The sequence below is a fragment of the Homo sapiens genome, chromosome 18 (genome assembly GCF_000001405.40).
Source record: "Homo sapiens chromosome 18, GRCh38.p14 Primary Assembly".
NCBI lineage: Eukaryota > Metazoa > Chordata > Mammalia > Primates > Hominidae > Homo > Homo sapiens.
In genome coordinates this window covers 38,490,477-38,507,637 of record NC_000018.10, presented here as the reverse complement: position 1 = coordinate 38,507,637, position 17,161 = coordinate 38,490,477, and positions in this window count along the sequence as shown.

Below are 17,161 nucleotides of genomic sequence, written 5' to 3'. Positions count from 1 at the left end.
ACCTAAATAAGGATGATACATACTTTCTGTAACATTTCTTCATGAACTTTGTCATATATGGTATTGGGAAATTTTTGATGGATCTATGTTCTCTGAAAGTTTGGAACTATTTTTGTACTCTTTTAGAGGCTGTTTACTGTTTTTCCCTAAAAGTGTGCAGTACAACATGGGGACCGTTGACTATTTAACATTGATGTGACTTCTGATCTTGTTTTCTCTAATCACCTAACCATAAGTGAAATGCTAAATACAACCCTAAATAATTAGATGCTCTGGTTGTTAATCCTTAAGTTTGTTTGATCTGGCCAAGTGTAATTATAATAATGTATAAGGTACCTGTCCTAAATATAGATAACAGATCCCTGCTTTTATTATAATACTAAGATAATATTTACCTTTTTTGTTGTCTTGATATTTTCACAAGCAGTAGCAAAGCAATGGTGGGTAAAACTGCTTGTACTTAAAGCAAATAAACATTTTTGTATTTATATTATCTAATATCAGTTGAAATTTCAAATTATTCATTAATCTATTTGGCCAGTTCAAGAACAAAGTAGTTTTCAGTACAGTAAGACTATTAATATAGCACAAATCCAGATTAGATAGAATGATATTGTACGGAAATAACTCAGATTAAAACCAAAACCACAACCGTGAAAACAAGTCCCATGTACACACCATTCTAAAAGAAGTCAAGTGTCATGCATGTCATCATCCTTCAGCTTCTCTATAGAGAAGATGAGGAATTTAGAGAAAATTTTCTCAACTGTGTGATTTCAATCATGGGAGAGAGTGCTACAACATTTTATTTTCTCCCTCTTTTAGGAAGGTATGTTTCAATGTCCAACTCTGTAGAGATTGATGGTGCCTACCAAAAAAACTCCATCTCATTCCCCAGTTAAACATTTGCTGAGGCATAGTTCTAGCTGATCTGATTATTGGCTAGTTTGGGCAGGAAAAAAGGAATTGGAGAGAATCTGTAGGACAAAGAGAAAGCACCCACACACTCATATTAGTGACGTAACAAAGGTGTACATAGTGAATTTCCCTTGGACCAACTTAATATGGCAAGCTTAAGCAGGCTTAATATGACTCGTATATATCCCATCCAAAAGACATCTCTTGAACTGGAAGATGCCCCAATGGAAAAGGGTCTTCGTATATAGAAAGGGTCTTTGAAAATATAATGGAAAATGTGTATTCTGAAAAAAATGCATAGATTTTAATTTTGCTCCAAAATAAACTTGTACTAGTTTGAGTCACTAAGAAGGATAAGACATCACTTCGAAAAAAGCTCCTATCAGAAACATGAATTCTGCTAAAATGGAAGCAAGAACAAACATCAAATTCATGGGGAAACTTGGGTGAAAAAATGGTGAAATCACTGATACTTTATGAAAAGTTTGTGGGAATGATGCCCCAAAGAAATCAGCAGTTTCTATATGAATAATTCATTTTAAGAAAAGACAATGTTGAAAAATGAAGCCCACAGCCACAGAATGTGCACATCAATTTGCAATGAAAAAATTAATCTTATTAGTACCTTACTTGAAGAGAAACAATGATCAACAGCAGAAACAATACCCAACACCATAGACATCTCAGTTGGTTCAGCTTACGCAATCCTGACTGAAAAATTAAAGTTGAGCAAACTTTCCACCCAATGGGTGCCAAGACCATTGAACCCAGGTCAACTTCAGACAAGAGCAGAGCCCTCGCTGGAAATTTTAAATAAGTGAATCAAGCTTGAAACATTTATTCAAAGAATTGTAACAGGAGATGAAACATGGCTTGATCTTGAAGACACAACACAAAACAATGTCTATGAAGAGGTGGAAGTGGTCTAATCAAAGTAAAAGCAGACCATTCAAGAACAAAGGTCATGGCAATAGTTTTTTGGGATGTTCAAGGAATTTTGCTTATTGACTTCCTAGGAAGTGAAAGAATGATAACATCTGCTTAGCAGGAGAGTGTTCTGAAAAAGTTAGCCACAGCTTAGCAGAAAAATGCCTGGGAAAACTTCACCAGAGAGTTCTCCTCCACCATGACAATGCTCCTGTTCATTCCTCTCATCAAACAAGGGCAGTTTTGCAAGAATTTCAACGGGAATTTATTAGGCATCTACTTTATATTCCTGATTTGGCATCTTCTGACTTTTTCCCCCAGTATTAAAAATATCTTTAGAGGGCACCCATTTTTCTTCACTTAGTAATGTAAATACAACTTCATTGACATGGTTAAATTCTCAGGACTCTGTTCTTTGAGGATGAACTAAATGGTTGATATGATCACTTACAACTGTGTCTTAAACTTGATGGAACTTATATTGAGAAATAAAGTTTATACATTTATTTTTTAATTCTTATCTTTTAATTCCAGTTTTTCAAAAACTTTTTGAAGTCTCTTTGTATTACCCAGGATTAGAAGTGAGAGTGATGAGAAGCTAAGCCATAGAGGACATCCTCTACATCAGGAAATTTATCTCTTTTAGGACTTAACATGTGCCCCTCTGAACCGCAATTGAATGCCTACCACATAGAGGTTCTCTACAGGGTCATGATTATGTAAGGGATACTTGATCTTTTCCACCGATTTCCCAGGAATCCACCCACCAGAGGAGAAAGAAGAAACAAAAGGAGAGGGGAGGTAGAAGGGCAGATCCTATTCTCTAAAAATAAAAATACTCCCTAAAGGAGTGGATTGTGTTTTAACTACCAAAAAGAGACTTTGTTAACCCTTGGAGCTACTTCTGTATCATTAGGAGATAGAAAAATTTGACAGAGCATAGTTGAAGACAATGATCAGAAAAAAATAAATACCTATTTCAAATTTGTTGCCCCACCCTCTTTAGACTCCAATCTATCTTTAGTAAACTTAGTTTGACTCTTAACTATTAAAATAGACAATATATCTCAGAAGATGAGATCATTCACCTTTTTTTCTAATACATAAAAATGTCTTCTTGCATACAATGCTAGGTGAGAAATGTCTACAAAGCAGCATTTTGATATTGTCTTCCATATGACCAATAATAATGTCTTTTCTGAATCTCACTAATTCCAGTTGTACTAATGTTTTTGTTTTCATGTCAATGATGTTACAATGAATGTTTGTACCTGCAAATAACCAATACGCTATATTGGACTATGTGCTGTCAGAATTCTCTAATTAAAATGAATTGGTCTCTGAAACACTCATCCTTGGCACAGATAGGAAAATCTGTCAACAAAGCATACGATTTGTAGGATACAGGAAAATTTAAAAAAAGAATAATGTTATCATCATCCATCATTACCTAGGGAACATCTAGAGGCAGTGTACAATATTTGTCCACTGAGTGAACAGTAGGATGCCTTGACTTTCCTGAATCAGTTAACTATATTAGGTAACCTCTTTCTGAAAAATATATAGATTACCCTGCAAGCTTCTGGCAGATTGAAGCCTGGTATGTGAAAACCAAGAAATTAAGGGAATGGTAACAGTGAGCTTCAAAGCTATTCAGTGTAAACTTCATAATTCATTGGTGAATGAATTCAGGTACAGATAAGTGGAATGATTTGTCCAAGGTTTAGAGGATCATAATTTAGGACTTCTATTTGCAGTCTAGTCTTTTTCCACTAAGATTCCAGTTCATAAAAACATCTGTTTACCCAAGGCACATTTTCAAGTCTCAGTGTAAGGAACTTAGTTGAAAATGGGGACCAGGAAGATTTTCTTTCATTGTGAAAGAGAACAAGAACAGACAGTGACTAAATCATTAATCCTTCTCTCCTTCTGGGAAGAAACTAGAGGACTGTTGGGCATGACAGATAAAATTAGCAAGTGTCAAAGAATGGGCATCTAGGACACAGTTAAAATATCAGTCTACGAATCCTCCTAATTACATATAATGTCACTTGCTGGGAACAACTGAAAGTTTCTAAGAACCATGGTCTCCACTCAGGCTATGATCCACAGGTATGGGATAATCTCAATACGAAAGAACAAAGATGATCAGTTGGAATGGATGATTATTTCTTCTGGGAACTCTTAGGATCTGATAGCTCAAAACATGAAAACTATAGGCTCATATTTGTAATATCCTGCATAACTGGATAGTTTGTAGCAGACGCCAATGGGAAGGGGATCAGGAAGGGTTGGTGAGCAAAAAATTGTTAGGGAGTAGATTGGTTGTTATTGTCAGAAGAGATCTGATTGGCAAAATTTAAAAACTGGACTGTTGCTGAAAGAGGAAATTTAAGACTGAATTCTGAGTGAAACCTGGGATAGACCAGTTGATATTGGGGTAAAATAGAGAAGTGGATGCAGAATGAACCAATGAATAAAGGCAGCCATGTTGTTGGGTAACAGTGGGTTTATCAAATATTGACAAACATGAAATGATTGTAATCAGTCACTGTCAAAAGAGAAAAGGTCCCCTCCTCTCTTTTACAAATGATCCAATTAAAGGAAACATGTTGGCTATAAAAGTCAAAATCAACAATGCACTATACACTGACAACCCATCCAACATAAAAAATCAATAGTGCATTCTGCTACCATCCAGCACAAAGCGACAGTAGCAACTTCCCCACCTCTTTAGTCAAATATGACACTGTATCAATCGATCAAAACTCAGCACTTATTGAGCAAGGCTTCTGAAGAGTACAAACTGCATTATACTTCTATACTTCCCATTTTATTTTGATAAATTTTAATTTAAAGGCATAATACTTGAGAATTTTCTGTTGACACATAGAATGTTTCTTTGTATAATCACCATACGATTTGACATTGACTATATTTACAGCAAGATTATCAAAATACTGTAGGGCTAGAGTTGCAAATGTCATTGAATGAGGAACTGTAATTTTAGTTCTGTCTCCATACCATGGCTTTGTGCAAGTCCTCCATTCAGTATGACAAAGAAGACATATATGGCTCTAATTAGTCATCAGACTTGCACTAGAACTAAACATAATTTGAAAGGAGGGAACTGAGCAAGGACTGGAGATGGAACAAATTGTGAGTTTGACAGAAGCAAAACCAATTCACAGCTTCAAATTTGGTGAACTGTGCAGAAGGCAACAAAATGGAATCTGGCTCTGACTCCATGTGTCTTATAACCTTGAGTAAGTCATTTGTCTTCTCCAGATCTCAAAGTCTTTAAGGAATAGGCTCAATGAATGGCAGTAACCATGCAAGCACTAAGCTTTAGATTCAGTTGTCTAAGTATTTTTAAACTTTTTCCCCTCAAGTTCTACAGTCAAATTTTCTATCATGACACTGTATAATCAAACTAAAATTGATAAATATGTTTACCAGTATGTTCAATGATCTCTAATCTTTTCTGTTCTATTCATTTTTATTTTATTTTTTATTTATTTTATTTTATTTTATTTTATTTTTTTGAGACAGAGTGTCACTCTGTCGCCAAGCTGGAGCACAGTGGCGCGATCTAGGCTCACTGCAACTTCTGCCTCCCTGGTTCAAGTGATTTTCCTGCCTCAGCCTCCTGAGTAGCTGGGATTACAGGCACGTGTCACCATGCCCAGCTAATTTTTGTATTTTTAGTAAAGACAGCGTTTCACCATGTTGGCCAGGATGGTCTAGATCTCCTGACCTCATGATCCACCCAACTCGGCCTCCCAAAGTTCTGGGATTACAGGCATGAGTCACCGCACCCGGTCTCATTTTTATTTTTTAATAAATGCTGAACATGTCTGTTTATGCGTCAGAACCTACAGCTTGATGAACAGTTTCAGGGTTCTTGGCTTCTCTTCCTCCCATCCTTCCCTCTCATCCCTTGCATGTACCTTCCTCCTTTTTCACTTCCTTTAAGCATCTCTGCTTTCAATCCCAAAGGTTGATTTCCTGTATTTAGCTGGATTTGTATTTTTCTTCAAATCTATATTTCTCCATCCCGTAGGAGTAGTGCAATCCAAAGACCCTCATTAGCTGGTCAATAAATACTTATTCAGTTAACTCACTAATTCCTTATCCTCTTTGCGAATAGGAATCATGTGGGAAAAAGGCCATCTATTACGTAGATTTTTGAAAATGTTCGATAATATAAAATAACATGCTTTAAAAGTTCACAAATTAGAATATGTTCATAATATAATTAAGTAAAGTTAGAGATACTACATTTTATAGAGAGAATTAATTTACAATTATCTCTCAGTATACATGGGGATTGGATCTTCCCTGACGCCCAAATCTGTGCACACTCAAGTCCGGTGTTCAGCAGTGTGGAATCCAGACACACAGAAGGTCAGCCCTCTTTATATGCAGGTTTCCAGTCCTGAGAATCTATCTGACTATGGCTGAAAAAAAATCTGTGCATAAGTGGACCCAAACACCTCAGATCTGTGTTGTTCAAGAGTCAACTGTAAATGCAAGTAAAAAAAGACTGGAAGGGAATGTTCAAATATAATAACCGCCTTTTACCTCTTGGTAGGGAGTTCCCAGGTAGTGTTTTTTTTGTTTTTTTGTTTTGACAGAGTTTCGCTCTTGTCACCCCGGCTGGAGTGCAGTGGAGCGATCTTGGCTCACTGCAACCTCCACCCAGGCGGTTTTTAAACTTATTTTTTATACTTTATTCTGCTTTTCAAATTATGTTTCTTAAAATGTGCTACTCTGATAATTAGAGAATGGAATTATTGAAATCCTGAGAACAAAAGACAAAATATGCCAAAAAGTTTTGTAAAATGAGTTGGAGTGGTATGTCATTGTACATTGTGTTTTTTTATATACATGTTACTTTCTTAAAAACAATTGAGATTCTTGTCTTTTTTAAAGCCAGTTTCCTTTGTATTTCTTAAGGGATCCAGTACTAAGATTGTATTGTTGCCAGTATAGTATTTGTTTCCTATAACCTAACAATCTAAAATGAATCAAAGCCTGACTGCTACCTCTTTCTATGTATTTTTCATACATGTTAATATTTATAAGTTATGGATATAACTGTTATTTATAGAAGACTGACCATGTGTCAGGCGTTGCTTCTTCTGTATACATGTGATCTTATTACTCCCCACAACTATCCAAGAAGGAGTTGCTATCAGTGTTCCATGTTTAATGGACAAGGAAACTGGGTGTTGAAGATTAAGTAATCATTTCAATGGTGGAACCCTAACTTGAATCTGAGCAATCACAAAAAACTCTCACTTTAGAGGTTGCTACATTTAATCTTCATGAATCTATGATGTTAGTTAGTACAATCAGCTTCACAACTTTGTACATGAGAAAAGGAGGCAAAGACACAGCAAGAGAATAGGTTGTAGAGGGTGAAGTTGTAATGTAAATTTAGAAGTCCTCAGCCAGGCACCATGGCTCACACCTAGCACTTTGGGAGGCTGAGACGGGAGGATCACTTGAGACCAGGAGTTCAAGACAAGCCTGGGCAATATACTGGGATCCCATCTCTACAAAAATCTTAAAAGATTAGTCAGGCATGGTGGCATGTACCTGTAGTCCCAGCTACTGGGGAGGCTGAGGTGGGAGGATTGCTTGAGCCCAGGCGGTTAAGGCTGTACTGAGTTGTGATTGTGTCGCTCCACTCCAGCCTGGGCAATAGAGACCCTGTCTCAAAAATTAAAAAATAAAAAAGTTCTCTATTAAAAATCATGTTTATAAAAATTATAACCAGATTCTTTAATTATATTCTACAAAATTTGATTCCCATAGGAGCTTTGCGAATTTTGACCCTGAAATTTCCATGAAGTAAAAGCAGGTGTGGGTATACTAATGACTCTTTCTCTTGGCAGATATTTGAGAGACATATTTATATTTTAAAAATATAATGAAGAAATAAAATTATGCTTTCTCAGTATTTTTGAGTTTTGACTAATTTACGAATATTCAAAAAACATGATGTAATTCATTTGTTGAAACAATGAAAAGGTGAAATGCAACAGATTATTCCATCATCTCTTCACAAATCTGACCAACTCTCCTCCCTACCAGGAGGAGTTCCCTGGTTAGTGACAAAATATCTGCATTCCATTACTGTGTTTCCTTGTGGATTTCTTTTTTATTCCATTTGATACTTTTACAAGCAGTATTTTCCTGTTCAAAAGCCTTCAGAAACTCTATTCACAACAAGACATAGACAAAATGGTCTAACGAGCATACAGGGTTTTCTACAAGGGATCCCCAATTAGCTTTTTCAATCTGATTACTGTTTAGGTTACTCTGTATGTAATTCTATACTTCACAAAAAGATTGATAGAATTTTAGAGACAGAAAAGACCTTAAGGTTCATCTCATTAAACCAGGTCATTTTAAATAAACTACTGGTAGTAGGAGTATTTTAGATCATACAGAAGCTTAAAGGTTAACAGAAACTTGTCATTTAACTTCTAACGATGTACTGTAATTTTCTCAAAAAATGTTTGTTGAATTCCCTGCATTTTTTGCCTTGTGTTTTCGATACATTGTGTGACCTGGTAGAAACTGCATGCTTGATACAATGTTTGAATGTAAATGAGTAGAATGAGCCAATATAGGAAACATGTATAGATGTTGAGCAGTTTAATACCAATAAAACACAATGATATTTTTCTGAAGACTCCTATCATTAGAAGGACCTAGTATGGAGGGAATGAGGAAGAAAAGTACCTGAATCACAACTTCCACATAATATGCCCATCAGTAAACTTCTAATGTGATAACCCTTTTATGAGAAAGCCCATCACTAAAAATTTGCTCATCACTTTACTTTCTGGTTGGGGTCATCAAAGCAACCTGGGATCACAAATCATTAGAATTGGAAGAGATGTTAGAGATAAGCCATGTACCCCAGCCTCTTCATTTTGAATGAGGAAACTCCAAGTCCAACAGTTTAGGATCTGGTATATAAAGAGATCACCATTAAAATAATTAAGAAAATCAGCAATGTTTTAATATCATATCCCATAAAGCCTTCCAGTTCCCTTGAGTACTGTCTTTGGTCTGCCTCTCACAACTAGAAGGAGACTAATGGGTCAATCTGGATTCTCCCATTACACATCAACACATGTAGCAATAGATTTTTCTGGTTTTAACATGGGGGGCTTTGGATTATATTATTTAGGACAAAAACAAAATCTCTGCTTATTAAAACTATTGCTTCCAAATAAATTACTTAGAAAAGTAATATAAAAGATGAGACAGAGCCTACGTGTTCATTTTTCATTCTACTCTTATGTATCCATCCGCCAATTTGGAGCTCCCACATTTTCCAGTTATAGGATTTCGTTAGGAGTGGGGGTAGAGAGGAATTTAATGAGGCACTGAAGCTTAATTTTTAAAATCCTTGTTAGTGTTTAAACTTTAAAATCATTTCATAGTCAGAGCAGTCAACTTTAGAACCCATATACTTATTTCAGAGATGTGAGCCATTTCTAGAAAGTCTTTTTTAGAATTGTTTTCAAAACCCAAAGCACATTATTTCAACTATTCTCAATCATGGCAAAGATTTGTATTTTGAATGTGGTTTCTACTTTTCACAATAAAAATGATAATTGGAATCAAGCCTGGTTAATAAGTGTGGAATCATTTGGGCTGTGAACAGTATGTGGTTGAAAAGGAATAAGGGTGATTTCTTTATGTGCTCTAGAAAATATAGTCTTGAGGAATTTCAAAAAAGATTTAGGTTCTGACTGTAAGAACCGAATAGTTGTTCTCTCTTGATGGCATCAAGCTAAAAGGCTAACATTAGTTTGGATCCAAGAAATGTTTTGGCTTAGGGAAGACTACAAAGAAAGTCAAAGAAACCTTGGTTGAAATTCCATTTCCACCATTTCCAAGTTGTGGGACCTTAAAATATGAACTTAACCTATCTGAGACGATTTTTCTTCACTCTAAAATTGGCTCATTAAAGAGGAATTTGCTGTGTATAAAGTACTAGCTTAGTTTTGGTCATGATGTGCACTCAGAAGTGATAGATCTTTAATACCAGAGTACACTTAAAAATATGTATAGTTTCTAGTCACATTGTTACTAGGCTGTGCTCTCCACGAATAAATATATATCAAAATTCCTGAGCTAAAGGCCTGATCTTGGCAAAATTTTCAGTAGATACTGAAAGACACCTTCTTCTTGCCAGTAACCCTTTTCTTTTTTGTGTCACCTCCCCCACCGCACAGCTTTCTGTTGCATGTGCCTGCCTGATGATATTCATATGTTCTTTTTAGAATGAATCATCTCATTTTCCAGCCAAGAGACTGGCACAGAAAGCCTCCCCTGTTTTATCTAAGACCACACCCAAGTTAGCTACTGCATATAATATCAAGGTCTTCTGACATTAAATCAAGTGACCTTGCCACTCTACCAGCTGTTCCTTATCCTACAAAGATATTAAAAGGATCTACATTCACTAAGTGCCTTCTTGATTTATTTATCTAATACTACTTCATTTTCATACCCACAGCCCCCAAATTATTAAAATCCACTCTTTCCATGTGGAAATATTTAAGTTCAGAAAGGATAAACAACTGGTCCCAAGTTGTACAGCATGGAAGCAGCAAAACTTGGTTAATTTCAGATTTCCCTAAAAGAAAGCTCTAATTCCAAGCTTATTCACCATAGAAATGATAATGCATATATGGCCACCCTATAAGATGCTCTAGCGGACACTTGGCAGACCATGAATCATTTCAGTCAAAATATGGTGGGATAGAATCTATTCACATTTGTTCTCACTGCTGCCTTTTATGTCCCAGTTCCAGGTGTAGGGGGAACTGGTTCAATCATGTGTAACCAAGTCTTTTTCCCATAAAAATCCTTTCTCCTAATTATTCCTCAACTGGATCTCCAGTCATGACCTAGAAAATAGAGATAAAGAAGCCACTTAGTTTTGTGGTGACCCTGAATTTAATGAGCTCTACATTCATGCCATTGTATAAATGAGTAGTGTATATTCCTTTCCTTTTTCCTTTCCTGCCTAGTCATGTGTAATTTCACTCTTCTCATTTTCTGAATTACTTACCTGTATGCTCTTCAAGGACACTGAGGTTTTCTCTTTGTTTCTACTCATACACACTATTTAGTCACAACCTCATGGAACACTAGCTTATTCCCTTGGTCAAACTCACCACTAAGCAAGAAAGTCTGAGTCATTTAGGATAGTGCTCCACCAATGCTCAAAACTGGCTTTTAGTGTGAAGACTTGGACTCTCATTTTGATATGTGGAAGCCCACTGAGTTTGGTAAACAGGTGTATCATCCATTCACATTAAATATTTTCTGCAAGTCATGCTGTAAAGGCAGTAATACAAGCATCCTAACTCTCAACAATGACCATTTCCCCTCATTTACTGAGGAGGAGAGACATTATAACAAGATGTTAGTACTGTGCTTTCAGTGTCACACAGTAAAATATGGAAAAGATTTCCTTCATTTCAGTAAGCACTTTCCTCCAGGGTTGTCTCTCTCTTGATGTTCTCGTGAACCTGGAGTAGTCAAATTCTGAAGCTATCACCTCCATGGTCATTGTGCTTTGCCAACTGTACTTTAGTTCTAGTTCTTGCAGTGGTTCTTGGGTCCATCCTTTGTCTTCCTCTATACTAGAAGTTTCTAACATGGAGGAGCCAAGAAGAGAATGAGCTGAAAAAATCAGAATGGTCTGTTGTCACAGAATCTTAGAGAAGTAAACAGGGCTTACATTTACCCAACATCTGTGCTCAGTGTCTCATATTCTGAAATCCATTCTGGCATCAGATGGCCAGTGAAAGATTCAGGGGTTTGGGAATCTGGCCCAACATCTTTTTGTCTCAGCAGAGCTCACATTGTTTAAAATGTATTTGGGCCTCCTCAATAAATAATGCCTGACGGAGACATGTTCCATAACAGGCCCTCCATGACTGTCGTTTTGTTTGACCAACAGTTTTTAAAAGTCAGATCTATAAACCACCTAGCAAAGTACTTGTATCTCAAAACACTTTTTACATTCTGGCACTATGTTAAGTGCTCTCGATGCAATAGAAGCATACAAATAGTCCTGTCCACAAAGAACTTAAAATTAGCCCAAAGAAATGATAGTTTACTTTCCACTAGAAAAAAAATTCTTGACTTTAGCCATTAAATAAAAAGAGAATTCATTTCAGCTTCATTTTCTCTCAGACTATGTATTAATATCTTGATTTCCCTGATAGTATCCAGGCATAAAAGTTATATTTTCAATTTTTCATTTAGCTGAAAGATATTTCACATTGCCTGCTATACCATTAAGGACTAAGTAAATGCTCTTCAGCTTTCCTTTTTAAAAAAATAATAACCCATGCTTATTTGGATGATTTTCTCTATCGTGGCTTGAGAGAAAGCAGTATTGGGTCTGTGGCAATATTGTTAACCGTGCAAATGACATTCTAATTGCAAAGACCTCCTGGCTCAACTGGGATATCACTTCTAAAATCATATCTCAGTAATTTATTCTCTCAATTCCCTGAAGTGCTGGCTTGAGGTCAGCGCCATCCTGTGAGAGAAAGCATCTCTCTTGCTAAAGCTACAAACTGCTGCTTTTTTCCTTTCCTCTTCCTCCCATTCTACTAATCTTTTCTAAAAGAAACTTCACATCAGACGTGGTCAAATGCTGATGATTTCATCCATTCAAATTGTCCTTTCCTGCAGACAGTTAACTCAAAATTATAAGATGAGGTCCCACAAGGTCACAAAAATGGCCTCTTTGTTCAGCACCAACTACCCCAAACCTAGGCTATGAGACACCAGAACTGCTAGAGTAATAGTTGCCAAGAAATTGCAGAAGAGCAAATGATTGCACGTTAGCTTAATTCTTTTCTCTGAACCACCAACTTTTTATAACTCAGAGTGAGAGTTTAGAGTTGAAATCCTAAGTCCTACACCTTTAGTAGATAGAGAATCCATGGCCATTAATCGGCTGCCAGGGCAGCATGGTGGTTTTGGGGTCAAACCCGTTGAGTTGGAAGTGTCCACCTTACTGGCCTGTCACCTTAGATAACTTTAGGAAGTTCTTTAGTTTCTAAGCATCATCTTTTCTCTTCTGAAAGAAAAAAAATTATATGAGCTAATACCAGTTCATTGCAAGTACTGAATTAGTATTAACTAATAATATTTTAAAAATGAAAAGATAAAAGGCAACCAGGGATTCCCTCTTATCTATAGCCTGAACAGTGTCTTCCTCTAGCCCAGGGCAGCAGAGCTTTCCCTTTTTGTCTGACCTCCTTTTCTCCTCAATCGTCCACAGTGCTTTGGTGCTGCATCTGGGAGGCCCAAAACAGATGTGAAACTTACCTGGAAAAGACTTTCTAATCTGTAGCAATTACTATTTTGAGTCATCAGAGTGGCATCTAGCTGCATATTCTACTTCCTGTCTCAGTCAGATTAAACTTCTTTTAACATTGCTTTCTACATGTTACGTACCCCAAATTTTTCCACCAATTTCTATTTCTTGCCTGAACAGTTGGTAATTTTCTGCCTGGCTCAGGGATCTCTGTGGTTTGGCTTCATGCCACCTAGTTACCCCTTACCTCTCCTGTCCATGAGAAATCTGCTTCCTTTCATCCAGAAATCTCTATTTCATAGCTGTTTTTCAATGCATGGCTTCATTCCCATTGCTTCCTTCTACAAGCATGCTCTCTTTCTCCTTTTTAACTCCAGAAGCTGCCAATCTGTAAATATCTGTCTGTTTTCACTTTTTCTCTAAGGCATTTCAAACCTTTACTAAACTTACTTTCTAAATCAGAGTTGGCATTTTTTTTTTCCCCCATAGAAGGCCACATAGTAAATATTTTAGGCTTTGGGAGCTATAGCATCTTTGTGAAAACTACTCAACTCTCTGGTTATAGCATAAAGGCAACCATAAACAACATATAAACAAATGGGTGTGACTGGGTTCCAATAAAACTTTATTTACAAAATGATTTTATAATACTTGACATCAATTCTATGGTGTTATGACATTTACTAGGAATATCATGATATTCTGTTATTTATTGAATTACATGGAGTAGCAGTTACTTTCAAACTCAGATTTTAAGCTTTATAATAGTAAGACAAACCTATGATAGCCCATATATCAACTAGCCTAGCACTAAGCATATAGGTTACGGTTAATACAGATATCATTAGTTGAGTAGTTGGTTGTTTTTCTGTCACTGGCCTCAGTGATCTCATCTATAAAATGACATATTTGAATTAAGTTTTCTTCTGCCTCTGGCATTTGATGTAGCTATATTATAAAGCTTTAAGCTTTTTCAAAATTTTACTTTATTAAAAGTTGTAATGGCTTTCCTTCACTTTAATTTTTTAAATTGTCATAAAATATGCATAACATTGTATTTGCCATCTTAAACATCTTTAAGTGTATAATTCAGTGGTATTAAGTACATTTATATTCCTGTAAAACCATCACCAACATCCATCTCCAGAACCCTTTTAGTCTTGCAAAATTGAAACTTTATGTCCATTAAACAATAACTCCTAGCACCTCCTCCTAGGTCCTGAAAACCAACATTCTATTATCTGTCTCTGATTTTGACTATTCTAGGGACTTCATATAAGTGAAATCATATAGAATTTGTCTGTTTTATGATTGGCTTATTTTACTTAGCATGACATCTTCAAGGTTCATTCATGTAACATATGTCCAACTTTCCTTTTAGGGCTGAAAATTACTCTATTTGTATATACTGCATTTTGTTTATTTATGTCAATGCACACTTGGATTGCTTATATATTTTAGCTATTGTGAATAATGCTGCTATGAACATGGTTGTGCAGATAAATATCTGTTTGAGAACCTGCATTCAATTCTTTTGGGTATATACCCAGAAGTGAATATGCTGGATCATATGGTAATTCTATTTTTAGTTTTCTGAGAAATCAGTATATTTATTTCACAGTGGCTATATGATTTACATTCCCACCAACCGTGCACAAGGTTTCCATCCTCCCACATCCTCACCAACAATATTTTTGTTTTTTGAGAGTAGTTACCCTAATGAGTGTGAGCTGGTATATCACTGTAGTTTTGACGTGCATTCCCTTATTATTAGTGATTGTGAGCATCTTTCCATGTGCTTATTGTACATTCATTCATATATCCTCCTTAGAGATATGTCTAAGTCCTTCACCAACTTTTTTAATCAGGTTTCTTCTTTTTTGTGTGTGTGTTAGAGTTTTAAGAGTTCAGTTTACTGCCCTTTGGCCTCCACAGTTTCAGGATTTCTCTGTATATTCTGGATATTAAATACGAGTTACAAACATTTTCTTTCATTCCATAGGTTGTATTTTCTTTTTTTTATTATTATTATACTTTAAGTTCTAGGGTACATGTGCACATAGGTTGTATTTTCACTTTGTTGTTAGGATCCTTAAAGCACAAAAGTTTTTATTTTTCATGAAGTCCAATTTATCTATTTTTTTATTTTGTTGCCTGTGACTTTATTGTCATTTCCACAAAATCATTACCAAACCCAATGTTGTGAAGCTTTTTCTTTGTTTTAAGAGTCTCACAGGTTAGCTCTTACATTTAGATCTTTAATCTATTTTGAGCTAATTTTTATATATGCTGTTAGTTATGGTTATACCTTCATTCTTTTGCATGTGGCTATCCAGTTTTCCAACGCCATTTGTTAAAAAGACTGTCTTCTCCCTCTTGAATGGATTTGAACACCTTATTTAAAATCATTTTACCATATTTGTAAGGGTTTATTTCTGGATTTTCTATTCTGTTGGCCTATAAGTCTGTCTTTATGTCAGTAACATACTATTTTGATTACAGTTGCTTTGTAACTGTAATTATCTAAATTCATGGTCTCAGTTTCTCAAGAAATAGTAAGGTGCCTGAGAGCAGACAGAGTTTTTGTACATCTTTATAAGTATCTGGGCAGCTAATGAGTGAGAGTTACTTGATTGCTATAGATGGCCAAGTGGACTCTGGAAAGGGAAGCATTTTACCTTTCACTATGTATTAAAAGATAAAAGGGAAACAACACAATAACAAATGCACAACAGGAAGCATTTTCACTGAGTGGATTCTGGGCATCGCCAAGTCTTATAATTTTTGCCCCTAAGAAAGTCTCTAAACAGAGAAAAACTTAAGTTTAGGGAGTACATAGGAAGACACTGGAAATGAACGATCATGTTCCTCAGATTCTCCATCCGCATATCTGCAATATACAGAAAAGTAGTGATCTCTCTGTAACGAGCAAGCAATAATGTTGGGTGGCAGGGAAGGTAGCTATGGAGAGTTATGTAATCTGTACTTGAATAGTCCATCCTTTCTGCAGCCTTTTAAGAGGACCAAGGTCATACATTCCAGTGGCTCTGAAGAGATCCCAGCACCTAATAAGAAAAATATGCATTTCAGCAGTTGTGCCCTGGGCCTGCCAAAGTGAGATCACAAAAACATTCGGGGGACTATATAAAATGGACCTTGCTTATATACTTTTATATTTTATAATATTTGTTCATTGGTCTTCATAATTTAACTTATAGTATAAATAAACATGTAACAGATAGCATCAGTTGGTGTTTATAGTTGCTTTTGTGAGAAACCAGAAAGGCTAGGTTTATATGTACACATTGAAAACATTCAGAAGAAATTAACACATTATAAAGACATCAGTGAGCTTCTGTGAAATACCATCTAACTTTCCTTGTCCCCTTTATAACACAACTAAACAAAGCTAGTGGTTCACTCTGGGTCAGTGGCAAGGATGGTGCTGGTGGAACAGGGGCAGGAGGAAGGGCGGTGGTAGTCCATCCCATTATTGTTTTTTTTCTCCAACAAAATAAGCAAGAATAAACCTGCTTCTTCTCTATACAGTGATGTCATTGTTACTTCCCCAGGGAGACACCATGGTTCAACTTAGACAAATTATTAACCTTCTACTTAGACAACTATCCATGTATTTGTTTTTCTTTCTTTATTCAAACAGCCTGATTTTATACATTAAACTGAATATTGAGACAGTCGAAGCCATGCACCCTTCCCCTACCTACCCTTGCAGTAACCTCACATTGCCAGTGTTCCTCACCTTGTCCAACAACATTACATCATTACTACAACACAAAAGTCACTTTTGAAATCTTGAGCTTGTTACAGAATAAACTGCAAAAATGTAGTTATCCAAACAGGGGTAGTGTCACTTTCTTGTGTTACCTAGAAGGAAAATATTGATAGTTTGTCTTAGACTGTTATGATATATAGACCCAG